Genomic DNA, 21,086 nt, shown 5'->3' with positions numbered 1-21,086 from the left:
AGGCGTGGTGGCTCTTGCCTGTAATCCTAGCAATTTGGGAGGCCAAGGCGGGAGGATTGCCTGAGCTCAGGAGTTAAGAGATCAACATGGACAACATGGCAGAACACTGTCTCTACTAAAAATACAAGAAATTAGCTGGGTCTGGTGGCAGGCACCTGTAATTCCAGCTACTCAGGAGGCTGAGGCACAAGAATTGCTTGAACCCAGGAGATGGAGGTTGCAATGAGCCAAGATGGCGCCACTGCACTCCAGCCTGGGTGACAGAGACTCTGCCTCCAAAAAAAAAAAAACAAAAAAACAAATACGGTCTTAGGTGAGAGTTTTAAAATACATTGAGTTAGAATTAGATATATACAACAATAATATCAAGTAATGAGGGAGACCAATGAAAGTCACCTGAGGTCCTTATGTTGTCCAGGAGGAGGATAAAAGTATTTATTAGTTAACTCTAGACTTCAGTAAGAATAGAGAGTGTTTAACTTTCTAACTAGGAGAAGGGGGGAAATGAAATGATTTGTTTTAAGTTGCTCAATCTCAAAGAAGGGGAAAAGGAGAGAAAAGGGAGGAAGAAAACACAAACACAAGTGAGACAATATGTAGCATAAAATAAGATGGTAGATTTAATTACATTAAATACACAATGGACAAAATGCTCCAGTTAAAAGACAAGGTGTGTTTTATATGCTATTAACAAAAAAAAAAATGAAATTAAAAATACACAATTTACAATAGACTAAAAGAAACATAAAATATTTACAAATCAAACTTAAGATAAGCAAGACCACAATGGACAAAAATATAAAATCCTATTGGTAAACCTTAAAGAAGACCCAAATGGAAAGAGAGGTAAACCATGTTCATGAATCAGAAAACTCAATATTGTAAAGACGTCAATTTTCCCAAAACTGATTGATAGCTATAATAAATTCCCAAACTATCAAGTGCATCATTGTTGTTGGAATTGACAAGCTGATTTTAAAACTTATATGGGAGAAAAACCTTACATGAAAATACAAAGAGCCAGAATAGTCAAGACACTCTCAAAGAAGAAAAATAAGGTGGAAAAGACTTACTTTATCAGATCTCAATACATAATTGATAATAATGAAGACAGCTTGATATTGGCACAAGAACAGACAGACTAATGGAACAGAGGAAAGAATCCAACAACAGATCTACATATGTCATATGTGGACATATGACAGAGGTGGCATTGCAGATGGGCGCAGAAAGTTAGATTACAAACAATGATAGGACAGGTGTGTAACCCTATGGAGAGAAAAAAATGAAAGTGAATCCTTACCTCACACCATATGCAAAAAACCAAATCTAGGTGAATTAAAGGCCTAAATATGAAATTTACATTTATAAGGATTTCAGAATATAATCTAAGAGACTATCTTCATGACCTTGGAGTGGAAATAATTTCAGTGGTTTTCTTTTTTTTTTTTTTTTTTTTGGTTTTTTTTGAGATAGGGTCTCACTCTGTCTCACAGGCTGAAGTGCAGTGGCACAATCACAGCTCACTGCAGCCTTGACCTTCTGGGCTCAAGCAATCCTCTCACCCCAGCCACCTGAGTAGCTGGGACTACAGGCACGCACCACCATGTCCAGCTAATTTTTGTATTTTTTGTAGAGATGGTGTTTCGCCATGTTGTCCAGGTTGGTCTCAAACTCCTGAGCTCAAGTAATCCTCCTGCCTCTGCCCCCAAAGTGCTGGCATTACAGGTGTGAGCCACTGTACCCAGCCTGGAAAGAATTTCTTAAGCCACAAAAAGCACTAACCAAAATGAAAACACTGATCAATTCAACTGCATTAAAAATAAGAACTGGCATGCACAGTGGCTCATGCCTGTACTCCCAGCACTTTGGGAGGTCAAGATGGGAGGCTCATTGAGTCTAGGAGTTTGAGACCAGCTGGGGCATAGTAAGATCCTATCTCTAAAAAAAAAAAAAAAATTATCTGGACATGGAAGTGCGTGACTGTAGTTCCGGCTACTCAGGAGGCTGAGGTGGGAGGACTGTTTAAGCCTAGGAATTGAGGCTGCAATAAGCCAAGATTGTGCCATAACACTCCAGCCTGGGTGACAGAGCAAGACCTTGTCTCAAAAAACCCCCCCCAAAAAAAAAGGACACCATAAACAGTCAAGCCAGAGTTAGAGAAGATATTTGCAATACACATTATGGATAATATCAAGACTATACAAAGAATTATTAGATTAATAAGAAAAAATCTGGTAGCTCACGCCTATAATCCCAACTTTGGGAGGCTGAGGCCAGCAGATCGCTTGAGCTCAAGAGTTTGAGAGCAGCCTGCATAACATGATGAAACCCGTCTCTACTTAAAAATACAAAAAATTAGCTGGGCTTGGTGGTGTGGGCCTGTGGTCCCAGCTACTTGGGAGGCTGAGGTGAGAGAATCACCTGAGCCTGACTCAAGGCTGCAGTGAGCTGAGATTGCACCACTGCACTCCAGCCAGGGCAACAGAGTGAGACCCTGTCTCAGAAAAAAAAAAAAAGAAAAGAAAAAGAAAAAGACAACAAGTTAAAAAATGGGCAAAAGATGATAGACACTTCACAGGAGACAAAATCAAAATGGTTAATAAAAACATAAAAATATGCTCAATCTCCTTGGTAATTAGCTAAATGCAAATTAAGGCCATAACTATACACCCCACCAGACTGGCAAAAGTGAAATGTCTGCCAAGGATGGGAAGGCAAGGGAATTCTGTTTTACTGCTGGTGGGCACGTAAACTAGAACAATATTTAGAAAGATCTTCATACCCTAGAACCCAGGAGTCAGACTCCTGAGTACAAACCCTAGAAAAATTTGTGCACCATTTGCAAAAAACACACGTGCATCAGAGACATGGACAAAACTGTTGCTAGCAGCATTGTGTGTAGTTACCCCAAACTAGAAACAAACCAACTGTCCATCTACAGCAGGCATGTCCAATCTTTTGGCTTCCATGGACCATACCGGAAGAACTGTCTCGGGTCACGCATAAAATACACTACCACTAACTATAGCTGATGAGCTAAAAAAAAAAATCGCAAACAAAAATCTTTATAATGTTTTAAGAAAGTTTACAAATTTGTGTTGGGCCACATTCAAAGGCATCCTGGGCTGCATGCATTGGACAAGCTTGACTGACAGTGAAATGAATCTGTGAACTACGATACAGCCAAACAATGGAAGTTTTTAGCAATGAACATGCACAAACTATACTACGCACAGCAACATGAATAAATCTCACAGACATAATAACGAGCCAAAGAAGCCAGCTGCCAGAATTTGCATCTGTATGATTCAAGGGGATAAAGCACAGAAACAGGAAAATACTGCAATGCCTGCATAATTGGGTGCTGAAGACTTTTTAGAAAAACAAGAACACAAGACTCACATAAGCCAGGGCAGAGAGGCCGGAAGTGACACTGTGAGGGGAGGGCACTTGGGTGCTGGCAAAACTATTTCCTGATGGTGGTTGCAGATCGTTCACTTCCTAACAGTGTGTTAGGTTGTGCATTTATGTTTTATTCACTTTTCTGTATGTTGTTTTATTCTGCAGGAAATGAATGAAAAAGGGATTCTGCCTCAGCTCTGAGCCCCTCAGAGTGGGGCCAGGGAAGAAGCAGACGGCAACGCCAGGGCAGCTGTCTGGCAGCCTGGAAGGCCTGCGAAGCTTCCTAGGGGTCCGAAGGAGGGTAGACAGGTAGGGGTCTGCTCTGTACCCATCAAATCTCCCTCCAGTGAGAATGGCTGGAAGATGGCTTAAAAGGGTTCACCACTCACACACACTTCTGAGGTGGTGGGGGTTGTCTGTCAAGCATCTTCACAGGGTCACTGCCCCTCTTCCCCAAGGACAGGCAACCTCCTGGCACTGCCCCCTCAGCAGGCAGTCTAGGTGGAGGGAACAGGGCGTGCAGGCAGAGATAAGGCAGGGGGTGTGTGCGAGGTGCCCAGCGAGGGGCTTGATGCTGCTGGGTCACAGAAACAGAGGTTGTGGCCCTTCCCCCATTCCCCTCGTCTAGAGACAAGCACGGCCCTCCCATGTTCCTGGTGTGACCCTGGTGTCCTAGGCCATCCCTCCAGCGCCTGGATCACCCTCAAAAGCCTCTTCCCTGCTGAGCTTCAATCTGCCTTTCTATGAAATGGCCCCAATAAGCCCTGCCTGCCTCAGGGAACTAAGCCGCAGGTCCCAGGTCCCCCTCTCCCCCAATGCCCACCCTCGCCCATCCTGAGGTGCAGGAAGCACCTCCCTGGGGCTGCGCTGAGCCCCAACCAGCAGGGGAGCTCCGCACAACGTGGCCCAGAAGGATCAGTGGGAACCGAGGTTTCTTCTGGTTCTAAAAACATCTTTTCAAGGCTGGGCGCCGTGGCTCGCGCCTGTAATCCCAGCACTTGGGAGGCCAAGGTGGGCGGATCAGTTGAGGTCAGGAGTTCAAGACCAGCCTGGCCAACATGGTGAAACCCCGGTTCCACTAAAAATACAAAAATTTGGCAGGCAGCTGTAATCCCAGCTACATGGGAGGGTGAGGCAGGAGAATCGATTGAACCCTGGAGATTTGCATTGAGCCGAGATCACGCCAATCCACTCTAGCCTGGGCGACAGAGTGAGACTGTGTCCCAAAAAAAAAAGAAAAAATCTTTTCACAATACAAATCTTTATTAACTGAAGGCACGGGGCTCACCACAATCCTTCGGATGGAACCACAGGAAGAGAAGAAGCATGTTTCACCCTGGGCTGGGGGTGCTTCCCAAAGCCACTGGGGCCCTTTTCCCAAGCCCCAGAACTGAGCCCACCTGAACTCATCTTGAAGGTAGGTATGTCAGTGAGTCCTCCCAAAGCCTCAGTTTCCCTATCTATAAAATGAGGAAGCAGGACTGCCCCTAGGGCAAGGCCTAGGCCTCCTGCCAGCCCACCCTCACAGACCCAGAGGGCAACGCAGGGTGAGGCGGGGCAGTTTCACTCCCCAGTGCTGTGGCCCCCTTGGTTGAGTGAAAGCACCTCCAGAGCCCTAACCCTAGCCCTGGGAGCCAGGCAAGAGACCCCCACAACGACCATCAGAGGTCGTGAGGGGTGGCAGGGAGCCTGGCAGGGAGCCAGGCAGGGGCCAGGGTCTAGGCTCAGAGCAGTGAAGGATAGATAGGGTCACATGCCAGTTAGTGGCAGAGGTGGGACTTGAACCCAGGCCTCTGTGAGACTTGGTTCTCTCACCTGTAAAATGGGTCTACTAGCAGCTGCTTCTCCAAGCAAATGATGTCAAGCACCCAGCTCGGCACCTCACAGATGTGGTCAGTAAATGGTAATCCCAACCCTACCCTTATATGTGGACTAGAACACTTATGGCAAGTCTCGGGAGGTCATGGGAACTCCTCATGGCTCCTTCTTCATGCTGGAGGACCACGGCCTGCCCCATCCCACCCCAACACACTCTTGAAACTGAGGCCCTCGGCCTAGAGCAGCTCACACAGACGTGGACAGCTGTGCTAGCAGGTGCAGAGTCTGGGAGGCGAGGCTGGACCAGGGCCCCAGCTGGGCTTCGGGTAACCACAGGCCTCAACTGTCCAGTTGGCCAGAGGGACCTATCACCTGGCTCTGGGCCCCAGGATGCTTTAGCCACTTGAGCCGGCTCCAGGTGACCGTGTAAGTGACATAAAGCAAAGGTGTCCTGGACTGCACCACTCACTAGCTCAGCACCCCAGGCACCAGGCTGGAAACCACATCTCGCACCCAATTCTCCATTTAAAAATTTTACAGGAAGGGGCCAGGCACAGTGGCTCATGCCTGTAATCCCAGCACTTTGGGAGGCCAAGGTGGGCAGATCACCTGAGGTCAGGAGTTCGAGACCAGCCTGGCCAACATGATAAAATCCCGTCTCTACTAAAAATACAAAAAATTAGCCAGGCGTGGTGGCGGGCGCCTGGAATCCCAGCTACTCGGGAGGCTGAGGCAGGAAAATCGCTTGAACTAGAGAGGCGGAGGTGGCAGTGAGCGGAGATCACGGCATTGCACTCCAGCCTGGGCGACAGGGTGAGACTACATCTCAAAAACAAAAAACTAAAATAATAAAATTTTACAGGAAGAGAAACTATGGCCACAGTGGGGAGTGGCATGACTCCCTAAGCAAGTTCAGGTCAGACAGGGCAAAGAATTCTGACTGCAGGGAGGAGGAATGGCTGGTTTTCCAGAGATAGATCAGAACAACAGAAGCTCCCTGTGCTCCAGCCTCGGCTGTGGTGCACTGACCTCTCACCCCAGGCAGGCTGAAGAGGAAACCCCTGCAGAGGTGGCCTTGGACACCTGGTTCCTGGAAGCAGCTGGCTGCCGTCATCTGCAGGGCCTGCAGTTCCACCGCACCCTATGGCCCCCTGGGGTCACAGCCTCCCACATCCGCTAACCAGCCTCATCACTTGTTTCCGCCAGCAAACCACAGGTCCCCAGAACACACCCAGGGGAAGGGGGCTGCAGGACCTTCTCCCCCAGTCAGTCACTGTCAGTGGGCCCAAGTGCTGACCTCAGTTTAGGTTTCCCTGACATAAGGTGCTAAGAAAAATCACAAGGATTCTAGGGTCCCTGCCAGCCCCTACCTCCCTGAGTCTGTTTCATTAAAAATCCAGCCTGGAAGGTGTGCCAGGGAGAGTGACCTGCTGGAACTCCATGGCAGAAAGTAAGGGGATGGATTGGGGCTGGGCCTGAGCCAGGTATTGCCTGGAAGACTTGGGCATCTGGGTACCACCGTCCCTACGCACCCTTGGCCTGCTTAGGGTCCACTGTTCCCATCCCATCGTAGCTGTTACTTCCTCCAAAAAATCTTCCGGGAGCCCCCAGTCCCTGCACACCCAGCTGCCCTGGACACTGTGCCGTAAGCACCTCATACCCAGCTGTCCCCAGACTGGGCTGTGAACTCAGCCAGGCCAGAGGCCCCTGTCTGGAATGGGACCAGGCATGCAGGAGGTACCCAATAACTGCTCGCTAATGCAGGGAATGAAGCAGCTGTAGCTGCAGGGCCTTCTAGCTCTGTAGCCCGCTCAGTGTATGCAAGTTCTGGAACGGGGACAGCCACTCAGGAGGTACCCAGTAACCAGGCACTAATGCAGGGAATGAAGCAGCTGTAGCTGCAGGGCCTTCTAGCTCTGCAGCAGCACTGCCCTGGCCTGACCTGAGGCAGCAGAACTGGTGAGTGGGGTGTGGGCTCCCAGCCCAGACTGCCCAAGTTTGGGTCCTGATCTGTTACTCGCTGTGCACCCTGGGGAAGTCACTCAGTGACCTGCACCCTGGAAGACAAGACAACCAACTGTTGGGGTTCCCGGGTACTGCTGCGGTCACCACTTAGACATCAGCATGGGCACCCAGTAAGCTGGTAATCCCCTCCTTCCCAATCAAGCCCCAGCCACCAAGGCAAAGCTCACTGCTGCTTTATTGGAGGCAACAGCCCCTACTGGAGCCTGTGTCTTAGCGTTCCTGGGGGTCCCAGGGCCAGCCCCGGCCCCCACCCAGCTGCCCTGGCCCTGCCTGGCTCCCAGCCCACTTAGGGGTGAGTGTGATGGGGGGACCAGTGTTCCTGTCCTTGGAGCCCAGGCACAGCTTGGTCCTGGGTTTCTGGGATTGGGACAGGGCAAGTTAGTGTGGGGCAACAGAGTCCCTTCGTCCTCTGGAGCCTGGCGCCTGGTTCAGCCCTAGAACCCAACCTGCTGGATGAGACTGGCTGGGTCCTACGAGATGTCCATCACAGAGGCCCTAGGCAAGCACAGCCTTGCTCCTGCTCACCCTCCCATGTGGGCCCATGTCCGTCTGTGTGGCCTGGGGTCAGGGCCCCTGTGACTGCCTTGGCCTGGCAGCCACATGGACTGCCATCACCTAGGCCCAGTGTAGCCGTAGGGGTGCCGCAGCAGCAGGCTCTGGTGGCTGGGCAGCACGTGGGTGTGGTAGTGCTCCACCATGCTGCCCACACTCACAAACAGGACCTCGCCCTCCAGGTAGAACTTAGAGTCCTGTGGGGGAAGAGAAGGGGGAGCGTCAGCAGGGCCAGGCCACTCTGCGGCTCTAGGCCTCAGTCTCCCCGTCTGTAAAACAAGGCAGCAGCATCAACAGCGGCATCACCAGGCTGGCCCCTGGCTGTCGGTGGTGCCCCCAAGGTGGCCTCCGCATCAGGCCTGTGCTCTCCATGTTCCCACCTCACTTCCCCTCCGTCCTCCATGTCCAGGAGCCTGCACCCAGAGCACTTCAGACAAGGTCAGGAAATGAACCTAGGCCAGGCACGGTGGCCCACGCCTGTAATCCCAGCACTGTGGGAGGCCGAGGTGGGAGGATTGCTTGAGCCCCAGAATTTGAAACCAGCCTGAGAAAGACAGTGAGACCCCTGTCCCCGCAAAAAGAAAAAGACAAGACAAGCAACCCAGGGTCTATGGCTGACCGCCCATCCCCACTAGGGTCAGTGGAGGACAAAGGTAGGCCACGAGAGGAGGGAGGCTGAGCAGGAGGGGTGGGGGGTGAGCGATGGTGGAGGGGAAGGGGAGGGCGGTATCCTGGAGGTGCCAGTCTCAGTCTACCCGCTGCCTATGCCTCATCAGGGAGATTCTGCCCTGCCCCTTGCCAGGCCATGCGGCCAGGGTCCCCGTCCCACTCAGAGCCCTCTCACCTTCTCAAAAATGCGATAGTTCCTCACTTTGTTAGAGGTTTCGTCCCACACAACCAGGACCTACAGGACGGAAGCGGGAGGCTGACGGCTCCCTGAGAAACAGCGGGACCAGCCTCGGGAGACCATGGGCTGGGGATAGGGGGGCAGAACCATCAAGGCTGGGTCCTGTGGCCCTCGGGGGGCGGGGAGGGACTCCAGACCACCTGCACAAGGACAGCGGGGGCGACACTGGCAGCCCTCAGAGAGCCTCTGATGAGCAACAGCTCATAACCACCAATAACCACTCCGACACACCCGGGAGAGCATGGCTCAGTGAGGTCACAACTTCACGCTCGGAGGGACACGGGCAGACCTGGCGTTCCCCTGCCCCATGTGGCCTCCGCCACCCCAGAGCATGAGCCCTACCCCACCCGAGTCCTGGCCCCCACTGGGAGGTGGCCATCATGGCCCCCAATTTGCAGATGGAGATCTATTAGGGAATAGATTGGGGGGTGCTGCTGGGAAGAGAATTCAGCTGAGACACCAAGTAAGAGTCCACAAGGGGAGTGGTTTAGGAACTGTGGAGTCCTGGGCCCACCCACAGCCTGGGTGTGTGGAGAGCCAGAGGGGCCCTGGGGCATCTTCCCCTGGCGCCTACCTTCCCCGACTTGGTAGAGGAGTTCCGGATGCAGTAGAGTCCATCCTGGGGCTCTCCCCGGGGGCTTGTAGCCTTGAACAACCTAAAATAAGACAGTCATATTAGCGGGTGAGTCCTCCTCGGGCAGCTTTCACACGGACCTTCCCGCCCCGCTCCCAAGCCTGGCTTTCTGTCCTCTCGCTGTTGTAGGTCTCAGGAGCTGAGCACGTCGGGCTGCCGTGAGGCTGACAGAAGCAGCCCAGCAGAGCCCTGGCCAGCCAGGGTGCCAGCTGGGCATGGGACAGAGCAGGGAGGTCCACTCCTCTGGTTTCTGCTGCACGCAGGGCCATGAACTTGTGCCAGCAACTCCCCAACACGGAAGCTAGTGAGAGGGACACAGAAGCAGGAAGCCGGGCATGGCGGAGGACCCAGCACACACAGGGCTTTGTGCTGACCTTTCCACTTCGCAGGACTCCGTGGTGTTGACGAAGACCGAGTTGGGCAGTGGCACCTGCAAGAGGCTGACGGTGTCAGTGCCAACGTCGGAGTGATCCACCCGCACCACCACTCCCCGGACGGTGGCCACCCGGTGCCGGGATCCGGGGCTTTACATGGTGCTGTGTCCCCCTAGGCTCCCGGGTTCTCGGGGGGTCCTTGCTCAGGACGGTCTGTGAGGGGCCGCCCTGGCCTATGGCTTTCCCACCACCTGTCCACCTACTGGCCACTGGGACCCAGGCTTGCCGCTCAGCCTTGCCTTCTCATAGTCCTCGTCCGAGTCGTCCCCGCCAGTGTCAGCCTGTGAGGGTTGCCGGGGCTTTTCAAAGGAGAAGCTCCTGAAACTCTGCCCATCGGGGGGTGATCGCCTGGAGGGGCAGGGAGAGGAAGGCAGGACCATTTCACTGTCAGACACGGGGCGGCCACCCTCTGCTCCCCTCCCCACTCCACCCTCTGTGTGAGGACGGCAAGCTGCCTGCTATGGCCCCTGTGACCCTAAAAAGCTCAGGACAACAGAGATCCGGGTAGGGCTCGTGCCGACTGCCCTGGGACAGCAGGAATCGCCCGACACCGGAGTCAGGGGTCAGGGCTGCCATGGATGCTGGCAAGGGAGTCCAGGGTTCCCAAGCTCAGTGTCATCACACCGTCAACAAGTGCTCTGGATGCTCGTGGGGAGGGGAGGTCCGGTCATGGCCAAATCACAGCCCACTCAGAGCCACAGGGGAGTGGACGTGAACTGGATGAACAATGCAGTGTGACCCCAAAGGACGCCCATGGCGTCCCTGCACGCCTCCCTGTGTGGCTAGCCGGTCCTGCTCAGCAAAGCCTCAAAGGCTCTAGGGAGGATTAACGGGCCACGCCAGCATGGGAGGCCAGCCTGTGGGTGAGGCTGAGCCCTGGAACCGCTATCCCCACAGTCATGGAAAAACGTGACTTCCGAACATCTGCATCTCTGCAGCCCTTGGTGAACTAGAACCACGAGTGTGACAAGGGCTGCTCAGAGGCACTTCCACACAGGCAGCAGGCATCTCAGAGGTGTTCGCAGAGCCCTGGGAGAAGGGCACCGTGGGCAAGGGCATTCGGGGGTGCGCGTGCCGGCCAGCACACCCATGCGAAACCTGCCCCTCCAGTTCCTGGACCCTTTGCCTGCCAGGCAAGGCAGGAAGCCCACCTGGGGTCCCAGATGCCTTTGACCACAGCCATTGGCGTAACTCTGTGGGAGTGGGGGACAAACTGGTCTCCTGGCACTTCCCAGAAATAAAGCAGAAAGCATTTCAGCAGGACGCGGTGGCTCACGCCCGTAATCTCTACACTTTGAGAGGCCGAGGCAGGCGGATCACTTGAGACCAGGAGTTCAAGACCAACCTGGCCAACATAGTGAAACCCCTGTCTCTACTAAAAATACAAAAATTAGCCGGGCGTGTTGGCAGGTGCCTGTAGTCCCAGCTACTTGGGAGGCTGAGGCAGGAGAATCACCTGAACCCCGGAGGTGGAGGTTGCAGTGAGCTGAGATCGCACCACTGCACTCCAGCTTGGTTGCCAGCGTGAGACCCTGTCTCAAAAAGAAAAAAAAACAAAGCATTTCCAGCAAGCTTCAGGGCTGAGTCATGGACATGCTCCACGTTCCACCAAGGCGGACTGGAGGCAACCGGGAACCTTCCTACCCTTGCACCTGGTACCCCGTCGTGGGCTAAGAGTGCCAGGGGAGCGAGGTGGGCAGAGTGCCCGTCAGAGGCCAGGCCAGGGTCCCTGTAGCTGGAGGCAGGGCTTGCAGCCGCCACACAAACTCACTGGAGGTGCGGGAGCTGCGGCTTCTCTGGCCTGGGCAGGACTGCGGGCCGCGCCATGGCCTCAGGCACTGGCAGCTTCAGCGCAGGAGGCCGGGGAGCCACGGGGGGCACAAAGAGTCCGGGCATGGCTGCCTCCCTTGGGGGGTCCTCTTCAGCTATCTTCAGGAACTTGGGCTTGTTGGCTGGCACAGGTGGGGGCTCAGATGTGGGTGGTCCTCGGGGGGACAGGTGGAAGGACTTGAGTTTGTCACAGTTTCTGGAGGTGGCAGTGGCCATGATGGCAGCACTGGAAGTGGAGCAGGCCCCGTGGCCAGGGGTCCAGGGCTCCGGGCTGGGGCTGGCACTCTCCCGGAAGCAAGGGGGTTTCCGGAGGCCGGGTGCGGTGGGCATGGTGCTCAGAGGGGGATCGCTCATCCTTCGGGGGGTAGCAGGTACCCTGGGGCAAGGCTCAGCCCGCCTCGGGCACAGTGGGTCCCTCTTGGAGTCCTCAGCAGCCAGGCCAACATCTGGGAGGCCGTGCTTAGGGGGCGGGGGTGGCAGTAGGGGACCGGGGCCCTTGGAGGTAAAGGAGTGGGCCCGGGGCATGTCAGAGAAGGCTGGCTTCCTGGGCGTGGGCACTGGGGGTGGTGGGTAAGCCGGTGGGTGCATCAGGGCATCTGCAGAGCAAAGAGACCCGGGTTGGACCCTGACAGAGACTGGGCCAACACTATCCTCTGCTGGCAGTGGTCAGCCAGGCCAACCAGGAGTGCAACCCATGGTAGGCCCACCCCACAGCCTGCCCACCCAGCAGCCCAGCACCCAGCACTCCCATCCTGCCTTCCCCAGGGTCCCAGACCACCCACCACCCCCAGCCTTCCCCATTCATCCTCCCTATGGCAGCCTGTGGACGCTTCCTGAAGCCTAGAGGACACCTGAGGAGCCCATCAGGTTCCCAGAGGTGGAAGGAAGAGAAAGGAAGAGAAGTCAAGAAGGATCTCAGGGCTCGGCTGGAGCGAGAGGGAGGACGGAATTCCCAAGGACAGGGGAGGGGAGCAGCTGGGAGGAAGGTGAAGGCCCGTGTTTGCTCAGAACATATCCAGAAAGCTGGGAGATGCCAGGGGATGCGGGGTCAGGGAATGTGTGCAGAGTTCAAAAATCCAGGCTGGACATGACTCGGAGCGGGCAGCCTGCAGATGACCCAGGCTGTCACCCAGGGAATTCGGGAGAGGAGTGAGGTCTGAGTCCCGGGTATCCCTCATGGGGCCAGCACAGGAGCTGAGGAGAAAGAGGACCCCGGGAGCACGGGGCGCCTGGAGGACGGGCTGGCAAGGAACAGGGCAGGCGCCAGGCTGGTGTGGCTCAGGACTGAGCGCTGGAACTGGGAATGGGGAGGCCACAGGCGTCCTGGACGAGAAATGTCTCGGGGAGAGGATGAAGGGGGTACAGAGGGAGGGTGAGTGGAGCAGTAGCATGCAGGAGCACTGGTGGCTCCCCAGGCCCATCTCTAGCCTCACTGGGCTGCAGCTCAGGGCTGGGCAGACGGAGTCTGAGTTCACCAAGGCTTGGCCAGCCAGGCTAAGACGGAAGGCAGTAGTGTGTGGGCGAAGGGACAGGCATGGTGAACACTGTGAGACAAGAGCTCTGCATGGAAGGAAACTGAGGCAAGCGGCCCGCAGACCCTCGTGGGCTGAAGGACTGTTGGCACTGGGACCCCAGAGGGAAGGAGGGAGGGAGCGGCAGGAGAAGAGGGGCTGGACCCGGGAGCCTGAAGGTGGGAGTGGATGGGAGGCAGAGAGGATACGGGGTCAGGGGCTGGGGTCGGCAGAGGCCAAGTCAGTGAGAACAGGAGGCTGGAAAACAAGGAGGCAGGGCGGACGCAGGGAAAATGGAAGGATCAAGGATCAGCCCCAGACATGAGGAAATTGACAAGATGAGGGGGCTGGAGAGACAATAGGGAGGGAGGAAGGGAGGGAGGCGACAGAGGAGGACAGAGACACGTCCTCCCCACCCAGCTCGTGCTTCCGTCATCCACGTGTGACCACCTGTATCAGCCTGTCTCTTTGACTAGGCCATGTGCTGCAGGAGGTAGGTGGACACTGGGATGGGATGGGGTGGGGTGGGACAACGACCTGGCCTGCAGCAGTGTCCACACAAGCTGGCAGCCATGGGGACATGGACCTGCCCTGAGCCTGCGCGCTCCTCAGCGTCCTTCCTTCCCCATGCTTAACCCCCAGGGCCACCCCGGCTCCACCTGCCACTTATCGCCATGTGCCTGTCCCTCCTCCTGGGAGGTGGGAGGAGGAAATGAGCAGAGGTGGCAGCAGCTACACCTCTTCTGCTCCAATCCTCATAATACTTGGGACACAGCAGGGAAGCGGAAGCCACCCAGAGCGGTACCTGGGCCAGCATCCCCAGCCTCGGAGGGGCTCTGCTCCCGGTCCCAGCCCCTGCTTCCTACACACCCAGAGCTCCCCGGGCCCACCCGCCCCACCTACCCTCAAGCCTTCCGGGCTCCGGGGAGTCAGGCTCCAGGTAGGAGTCATCCTCATCGTCGTGCTCATAGTCTGCATGGGGAGAGGGGGGTGGTGAGAGCCAAACCGGCCCAGGCCCAGTCTCCGAGCAATGCTCCATGCATGGGGCTGAGTCCAGGAGGCAAGGGGCAAGCACCTGCTGGGAGGACTGTGAGTCCAGACCCTGCCGCTGAAGGCCAGAGCCCAGGGATGCTACTGCGCACTGCCAAAGGGCCAGAGCAAGGAGCACAGCCGAACACACCTCCCTCTCCTCCACAGCGGCCAAGAGGAGGCCAGGTGGGGAGAGGCAAACGGGCAGTGGATGCGGAGAAAGACCTCACCTTCATTGTCCGTGGGGTACGGGGAAAGGCTGATATCCACAGGCCGCTCAACTGCGCCGTAGAAGCTGTCTGTGTCCGAGCTGGAGTCGCTGCAATGCAGGGTGCGTTGGGGCGGACGGTGAGCACCAGGCCTGGGAGGTCCCTTGATGCTCACACAAAGGTACACACAGGCACACGCGGATACATGGACAGATACACAGATGCACACACGGATACACTGACAAACACATGCACACATGGTTAAGCTGACAGACACACACATGCACACACGGATACGCTGACAGACACACACATGCACACATGGATACGCTGACAGACACACACATGCACACATACTCTGACAAACACACAAATGCACACGTGCACACACAAGCACACGCAGGAACACAGGCACACAGGCATGGATATATATACACAAAGACACAGGGACACGCGCAGACATGTAGACACACAGACACAAGGACTCTGTCACACAGACATGGAAGTATACAGATAAACACAGATACAGGACAAGCACACATGTTCACACACAGACGAGCGACACACGGACACGCACACACAAACACAAGCAACACGCGGACATGCACACACACAGAGCAACATGCGGACATGCACACACACACAGAGCAACATGAGGACATGCACACACACAGAGCAACACGTGGACATGCACACACACACAGAGCAACACGCAGACATGCACACACAAACACAGAGCAACACACAGACATGCACACACACACAGAGCAACATGCAGACATGCACACACACACACACAGAGCAACACGCGGACATGCACACACACACAGAGCAACACGCAGACATGCACACACAAACAGCAACACGCGGACATGCACACACACAGAGCAACACGCGGACATGCACACACAAACACAGAGCAACACGTGGACATGCACACACACAGAGCAACACGCGGACATGCACACACAAACACAGAGCAACACGCAGACATGCACACACAAACACAGAGCAACACGTGGACATTGCACACACACACACAGAGCAACACGCGGACATGCACACACACAGAGCAACACGCGGACATGCACACACACGGAGCAACACGCGGACATGCACACACAGTTACAAGGACAGACAGAAGAACTGGAGGCTGTGGTGCCTCCACTAGGTGCCCCTTCTGGCCCACAAGGATGGCCGCCCTGACTGTGCCCACGTCTCCACCTGCTCCTGCCTCAAGAGGGCTTGGGCGACTCTGGGCTGGGCCCGAGGCTGAACAGCTTGGACCAGGGGACGGGAGCCCGGAGTCAGGCAGGGACCTGCAGGGCAGCCTTGGCTGTGCCCAGCCCTCCCTGGGCCTCCTGTCCCCACCTGTGAAAGGACAGGAAGGTTTGTTCCCTCCACATCGTCTCGGGCCAGGAAGTCCCAATCCAGAGAGTATCTGCTGCACGTCGGGCCAGCTCACGGGGGAGGCTGCCAAGGCTCAGACTGCCCAGTGGCGCCCCGCCAGGAGAATCATTCTGGTCTCACTCTGAGTGAGCCAGGGTGGGCGTAGGGGGCTGGGAACCCAAAGTGCCCAGCTGCTGCCATGCCAGGCCTCCCTGGTGGCAGGCGTATAAACACACATGATCCCCTAACAGGAACTACCCATGGCGGCAACACAGAAACAGATGTGACAGATGGGGCTGGAGGTAGACAGGAGCAGAGAGATGCATGCACACCTGTGCATGCTCTGTGTGTGTGTGCATGTCTGTGTGTTGCTCTGTGTTTGTGTGTGCATGTCTGCGTGTTGCTGTGTGTGTGTGCATGTCCACGTGTTGCTGTGTGTGTGTGCATGTCCACGTGTTGCTCTGTGTGTGTGCGCATGTCCACGTGTTGCTCTGTGTGTGTGCATGTCCGCGTGTTGCTTGTGTTTGTGTGTGCGTGTCCGCGTGTCGCTCGTCTGTGTGTGAACATCTGTGCTTGTCCTGTATCTGTGTTTATCTGTAGACAGGAGCAGAGAGACGCAGCCCAGCTGGCACCTCCAGGAAACCTTTAAGGACGGAATTCTATGCCAAGCCCGGGGCTGGGAGGCGGACACCCGGGTCAGGCCCAGGCGCCCCAGGGACCCTCACTGCCCGGTATGCCCTGGGCCCGGGCTCACCTGGTGTCCAAGGGCAGGTCTTTCTTTTCGTGGAAGTGGCCAATCTCCCTGCGCAGCAAGGCCATCCAGCTCTGCAGGTCAGCGGGGCTGTGGTGGGCACGGTGCCACCAGGGTGGGCCCCACCGCACCCCTCCACCTTCACTGCCCTGCCTGCTCTGCTGTGACTCCCAAGGTCAGAGGAGGCGACCCGGCTGGATACAACATGGCTGTGTGGCTCCCCTCAGCCCACAGGGGCACCTCCCAGGACAGCATGTTCCTTGTGTGGGCGCTGGCACCAGGCTCTGGGCATGGGGATGGAGCTGGGGCAGCACCCACCCAGCTGCCTGTGTCCCAGCCACACCTTCTCTTTGCCCGGGGCTGAGAGGCCAGCGCCCCAGGACCAGCGAGCCCCCAAGGCAGGTCCAGCCTGGTGCCTGCAGGCCCACACCCCCAGTCACCTTGCACTCGTCCTCGGACCCCCAGTCACCTTGCGCTCCTCCTCGGAGGAGGCCGAGAAGAACCACGTGCGGTGCTTCTTGCTGATATGGATGATCTTGAAGGGGAAAACGTTGTTGGACGTGGTCTCCTCAGCCGCCCGCATCACCCTGGGGGCACAGCGCCAGGGGTCACGGCCTGGTTCACAGCTATAGGGATGGCCTTCCCACAGCACCCCCCTGTGAACACGTCTCGGCACCAGCACCACGCCCCAACGGAAGAGGGCAGATCGGGTGGGCCCTGGCTGCTGATGCTCCCAGTAGTGAGCTTCATGCCCAGGCAGGCGTAAGGGGGCATGGAGGGGCATGGAAGAGGGGTGCTGGGTGGGCTTCGTGGGAGCAGCAGTGCACAGGAGACAAGGACAAACCTGCCTCGATGCCCGCCAATGCCACTTTACATGGACGCCACCCTCCCACCTCTGGCCCCATTTGCCCAGGCCTGCTTGGCCTCCCTGGGGTACCCCACAGGGCTCCGTGCCCCTGAGGCCCAGCAGCAGCCCTGAGTGCATTTCAGGGAATGACTCGTGCCTGCTCTGCGGCCCACTCACACAGCCAGGATGTGGGGTTTGCGCTGAGTTTATCACGTGGGGAGCCCTGCCAGCCAGGCACCGGGGCAGGTGCACTTATACGGCCCATAAGAGCCTGGCCAAAACTCCTCAGGCCCAGCATTCCCTGATGGGCTAGACAATTCCCTGGGGCATGATTGCATCTGCCACTGGGCCCAGGGTTCATGGCATGGCTGGCACATGCTGGAGGCCGGAAGGCGCTGTGTCTGTCTGCAGAAAGGGAACGACCTTCCCCAGGGGACCCCGGAGCTCTGTGCCAGCATGGGGGCCTGGCACCAGGCTGGGTGCTCTGGCAAGGCTGCCCTACCAGGCCTGTGGCCAGGGTGCAGGCCGGGGCCTAGAGTCACTCCAAAGGTCCCAGTTCCACTACTGATACCATGTGACCCTTGGTTCCTCATAGGCAGGAGGGGCTGGGCCCTTAAGGGGTGGTAAGAGGCATAGATAAATGCTGTGGGGTGCAGGGCTCCGATGGGATAGCAACCAGAACCAGAGCTGGGTGCCAGCATTAACCCTTTGTGTGGGCCCCAGGCCATGGGCTGTGCCAGTGCACTCCCCCACCCACATGCCACCTGGCCACCGCCCACCTGCCTGTTAGTGCAGAAGGCCCTCCAGGGCAGCTCATGGCCCATCACTGGATAGAGCCCAGCCCAGGACATGCGTGAAGCTGGAAACTGATCCCGGCCTGGGAGGACCCTGGAGCAGGGAATCCTAGGGCCCAGCCTCTGTTTGGGACAGGGCCTGGGCTGGCTGGGGTCTGGGCTGCCTGGAAAGAGGTCATGGTGGGTGAAGGGGCAAGGTGGGGAGGGAGGAGAGATGCAGAAGTCACTGGGTGGTGGCCGAGTGGAGACTCTGGAGAGCAGGCTGTCCAGGCCTCTGGGACTTGTGCACAAAGCCACAGGAAGACCCTGGCACCCCCAAGGTCCTGCGCCTGAGGGCAGGACACGCGGAGAGGGCGAGGCACTGTGGAGGCTGGGCGGGGAGGACAGGGGATGGGCACGAAGGCTGCTTCGGGAAAGCACTTTCCTTGGGCGGGAATAAGGGGCAGGCCCAGCTGGGGCTCTGCTGGGAGGGACCCGCTGGCTGTGGGGGCCCGAGGTCAGCAGGCAGGTCGGGCACTTACCGGTTATAGCCACTCAGGGAGAAGGCGCCCTGCGGGGAGGCAGAGGTGCTACTCTTGAAGTAGTAGACGCAGCGTTTGTGGATGATGACAAAGCGCAGGGGCCCTGTGGGAGGTGGCAAGGGCAGGAAGGTGAGCCTGGAGGGGCAGCTGCCAAGACCCACTGTGAGGACCCTCCACAGGACAACTTGGGGCCAGGCCTCCTGCCTCTAAGCCTTACCAAATGGAAGAGCAGGGAGCAAGGCTGGCATGCTGCCCCCTCCCCAGGAGCCCACTCTGGGGCCAAATACGGAAAAAATTGTAGGCACACTGGCTAGCCCCAGAGTGCCACCCGAGGGCAGGCCTGGCTGCCCACAAAGAAGAGGTAGATTTGGGGGGCTGTGTGGAGCCAGCATGAGGCAAGGCAGAGCCAGGACCAGAGGCCCAGGGAGGCCACAGCTGACTTGCTGGGTGCTGCAGGGCTGTTGGAGGCTCCCACTACCCCAGAGCTAAAAGAGGGGGACTAAGGCCGGGTGCAGTGGCTCACGCCTGCGATCCCAGCTACTCAGGAGGCTGAAGCAGGAGAATTGCTTGAACCCGGGAGTCAGAGGTTGCAGTGAGCCAAGATCGTGCTACTGCACTCCAGCCTGGGTGACAAGAGTGAGACTGTCTCTAAAAATAAAAGATGGGGTGAGCCTGAGCAACATGTGAAACCCCATCTCTACAAAAAATACAAAACTTAGCCGGACACGGTGGCATACATCTGTAGTTCCAGCTACTTGGGAGGCTGAGGTGGGAGGATCATTTGAGCCCAGGAGGTCGAGGCTGCAGTGAGCTGTGTTCGCACCCACTGCACTGCAGTCTGGGTGACAGAGTGAGACATAAAAATAATAAATAGGCCAGGCGCGGTGGCTCATGCCTGTAATCCCAGAACTTTAGGAGGCCAAGACAGGATCACTTGAAGTCAGGAGTTCGAGACCAGGCTGACCAACATGGTGAAACGCTGTCTCTACTAAAAATACAAAAATTAGCTGGGCGTGGTGGCACACTCCTGTAATCCCAGCTACTCAGGAGGCTGAGGCAGGAGAATTGCTGGAACCCAGGAGGTGGACGTTACAGTGAGCTGAGATCAAGTCACTGCACTCCAGCCTGGGCAACAGAGCAAGACTCCATCTCAAAAAAATAAATAAATAAAAAACAAAAATAAATAAAAAATAGGCTGGATGCGGTGGCTCACACCTGTAATCCCAGCACTTTGGGAGACCAAGGCGGATGGATCGCTTGAGCTCAGGAGCTCCAGGCCAGCCTGGGCAACATAATGAAATTCCATCTCTACAAGAAATTTAAAAAAAAATTAACAGGGCATAGTGGCATGCCTGTAGTCCCAGCTGAGGGGATCACCTGAGCCTGGGAGGTTGAGGCTGCAGTGAGCCATGATCACGCCACTACACTCCAGCTTGGGCAACAGAGCAAGACCCTGTCTCGAAAAAATAAAATAAAAGAGGGAGACTCAGGAGCCCGGAGAGTTTGCCAGTGAGAGCCACTGGTGTGGGGCCACCCCTAGGTGGAAAGTTACACTGAAACCACCCTAGCTCCACTGCCCCAGCCCTGTCCCAGGCTGGGGGACAAGCCAGTTACAGCTCCTCCAAGGAGGCTGTCTGTGCAAAGAGGAGAACAGCTCAACCAGTGCCCGTACAGGAACCAATCAGTCCAGCCTGGACATCTCAACCAGGCGGCCCAGGACCAGGGAGTCCCTGGCAGAGGGCACTGCTACTGCAAAGGCATGGAGCACCTGCTGCTCAGGCCCTGATGCTCTTGGCCTTCAGTATCTCAGCATTTGGGTATCTCTCAAGCCTGAGGGCTGCTTCTTCCTCCCAGCCAGCTGTCCTGGGGGCCAGAGCCTGGGTCTTGTGCAGCTCCAGAGGTCCAGCACCCAGCCAGGACTTGACACATAGGTTCACTGTGGGCGAAGTGACCAACTAACTCACTGAACATTCACGGATTCAGTGAGGGCAGCACCAGAGGCCAGACCTACCTGGCCACCTGTGGTCCCCAGGTCCTGGCTGCAGGCTGCAGCTCCCCTTGCCAGCTGGCCAGCACTGTGCACCACCCCGGACCCTGCTACAGTCCTGGGGGCTAGGGAAGTCAACCTCTGCTTCTCCAGGGGTGCCAGCCACCAGAGAGGGAATGGGAAAATCCAGAGGGCACACCATGTGAGGAAGCAGAGGCTTGGAGAGGATGCTTACTTACATGGCTAGCCCTGCCCCCATGCCCTCCTACTGTGCACCCTACCACCCCAGGGACTCACATTTCAGCAGCTGCAGCTGGGTACCGCCCTTCTTGTGCAGGTAGCCAGCCTTGGCCACGCCCCCAGGCATGGTTAGCAGGTTCTGGGCACCAATGGCCTTCATAGGGACAGGCCAATGCATCTCTTCAGCCGCCATGAAGCTGCAA

General features: G+C 56.6%; 1 protein-coding gene across 4 annotated transcripts in view, besides 6 other annotated features; it reads right to left on the bottom strand.

Annotated features, from left to right (window-relative positions):
• The window catches only part of SH3BP2 (SH3 domain binding protein 2), a 48,012-nt gene continuing 27,523 nt past the window's right edge, over positions 598 to 21,086 (bottom strand). For all 4 annotated transcript variants that reach the window (NM_001122681.2, NM_001145855.2, NM_001145856.2 and 1 more), the window contains exons 2-13: positions 20,941 to 21,080; positions 18,657 to 18,759; positions 16,964 to 17,081; positions 16,498 to 16,568; positions 14,376 to 14,464; positions 14,020 to 14,088; positions 11,547 to 12,201; positions 10,015 to 10,123; positions 9,716 to 9,771; positions 9,282 to 9,363; positions 8,645 to 8,704; positions 598 to 7,997 (exon numbers count right to left, since the gene is read on the bottom strand). In NM_001122681.2, the coding sequence (NP_001116153.1) occupies positions 7,860 to 7,997; positions 8,645 to 8,704; positions 9,282 to 9,363; positions 9,716 to 9,771; positions 10,015 to 10,123; positions 11,547 to 12,201; positions 14,020 to 14,088; positions 14,376 to 14,464; positions 16,498 to 16,568; positions 16,964 to 17,081; positions 18,657 to 18,759; positions 20,941 to 21,076 (1,686 nt within the window). In that variant the 5' untranslated portion in view covers positions 21,077 to 21,080 and the 3' untranslated portion in view covers positions 598 to 7,859. The remainder of the gene's footprint in view (positions 7,998 to 8,644; positions 8,705 to 9,281; positions 9,364 to 9,715; positions 9,772 to 10,014; positions 10,124 to 11,546; positions 12,202 to 14,019; positions 14,089 to 14,375; positions 14,465 to 16,497; positions 16,569 to 16,963; positions 17,082 to 18,656; positions 18,760 to 20,940; positions 21,081 to 21,086) is intronic.
• Positions 3,351 to 3,540: an enhancer, noted in NCBI's record as "active region_21194". NCBI's record gives its function as "activates an Ori minimal core promoter by ATAC-STARR-seq in GM12878 lymphoblastoid cells {active_cell/tissue: GM12878}" and the evidence as "EXISTENCE:reporter gene assay evidence [ECO:0000049][PMID:35858748]".
• Positions 3,493 to 4,490: an enhancer, noted in NCBI's record as "H3K4me1 hESC enhancer chr4:2838931-2839928 (GRCh37/hg19 assembly coordinates)". NCBI's record gives its function as "activates a minimal SCP1, AML or CMV promoter by ChIP-STARR-seq in naive H9 embryonic stem cells {active_cell/tissue: H9 hESC(naive)}" and the evidence as "EXISTENCE:reporter gene assay evidence [ECO:0000049][PMID:30033119]".
• Positions 6,156 to 6,205: an enhancer, noted in NCBI's record as "active region_21193". NCBI's record gives its function as "activates an Ori minimal core promoter by ATAC-STARR-seq in GM12878 lymphoblastoid cells {active_cell/tissue: GM12878}" and the evidence as "EXISTENCE:reporter gene assay evidence [ECO:0000049][PMID:35858748]".
• Positions 6,466 to 6,545: an enhancer, noted in NCBI's record as "active region_21192". NCBI's record gives its function as "activates an Ori minimal core promoter by ATAC-STARR-seq in GM12878 lymphoblastoid cells {active_cell/tissue: GM12878}" and the evidence as "EXISTENCE:reporter gene assay evidence [ECO:0000049][PMID:35858748]".
• Positions 13,973 to 14,858: an enhancer, noted in NCBI's record as "H3K4me1 hESC enhancer chr4:2828563-2829448 (GRCh37/hg19 assembly coordinates)". NCBI's record gives its function as "activates a minimal SCP1, AML or CMV promoter by ChIP-STARR-seq in primed H9 embryonic stem cells {active_cell/tissue: H9 hESC(primed)}" and the evidence as "EXISTENCE:reporter gene assay evidence [ECO:0000049][PMID:30033119]".
• Positions 14,859 to 15,745: an enhancer, noted in NCBI's record as "H3K4me1 hESC enhancer chr4:2827676-2828562 (GRCh37/hg19 assembly coordinates)". NCBI's record gives its function as "activates a minimal SCP1, AML or CMV promoter by ChIP-STARR-seq in primed H9 embryonic stem cells {active_cell/tissue: H9 hESC(primed)}" and the evidence as "EXISTENCE:reporter gene assay evidence [ECO:0000049][PMID:30033119]".

The sequence above is a fragment of the Homo sapiens genome, chromosome 4 (genome assembly GCF_000001405.40).
Source record: "Homo sapiens chromosome 4, GRCh38.p14 Primary Assembly".
NCBI classification, from domain to species: Eukaryota; Metazoa; Chordata; class Mammalia; order Primates; family Hominidae; genus Homo; species Homo sapiens.
Note: the sequence above shows the minus strand (reverse complement) of the source record. Positions and strands in the feature narration are given on the sequence as shown.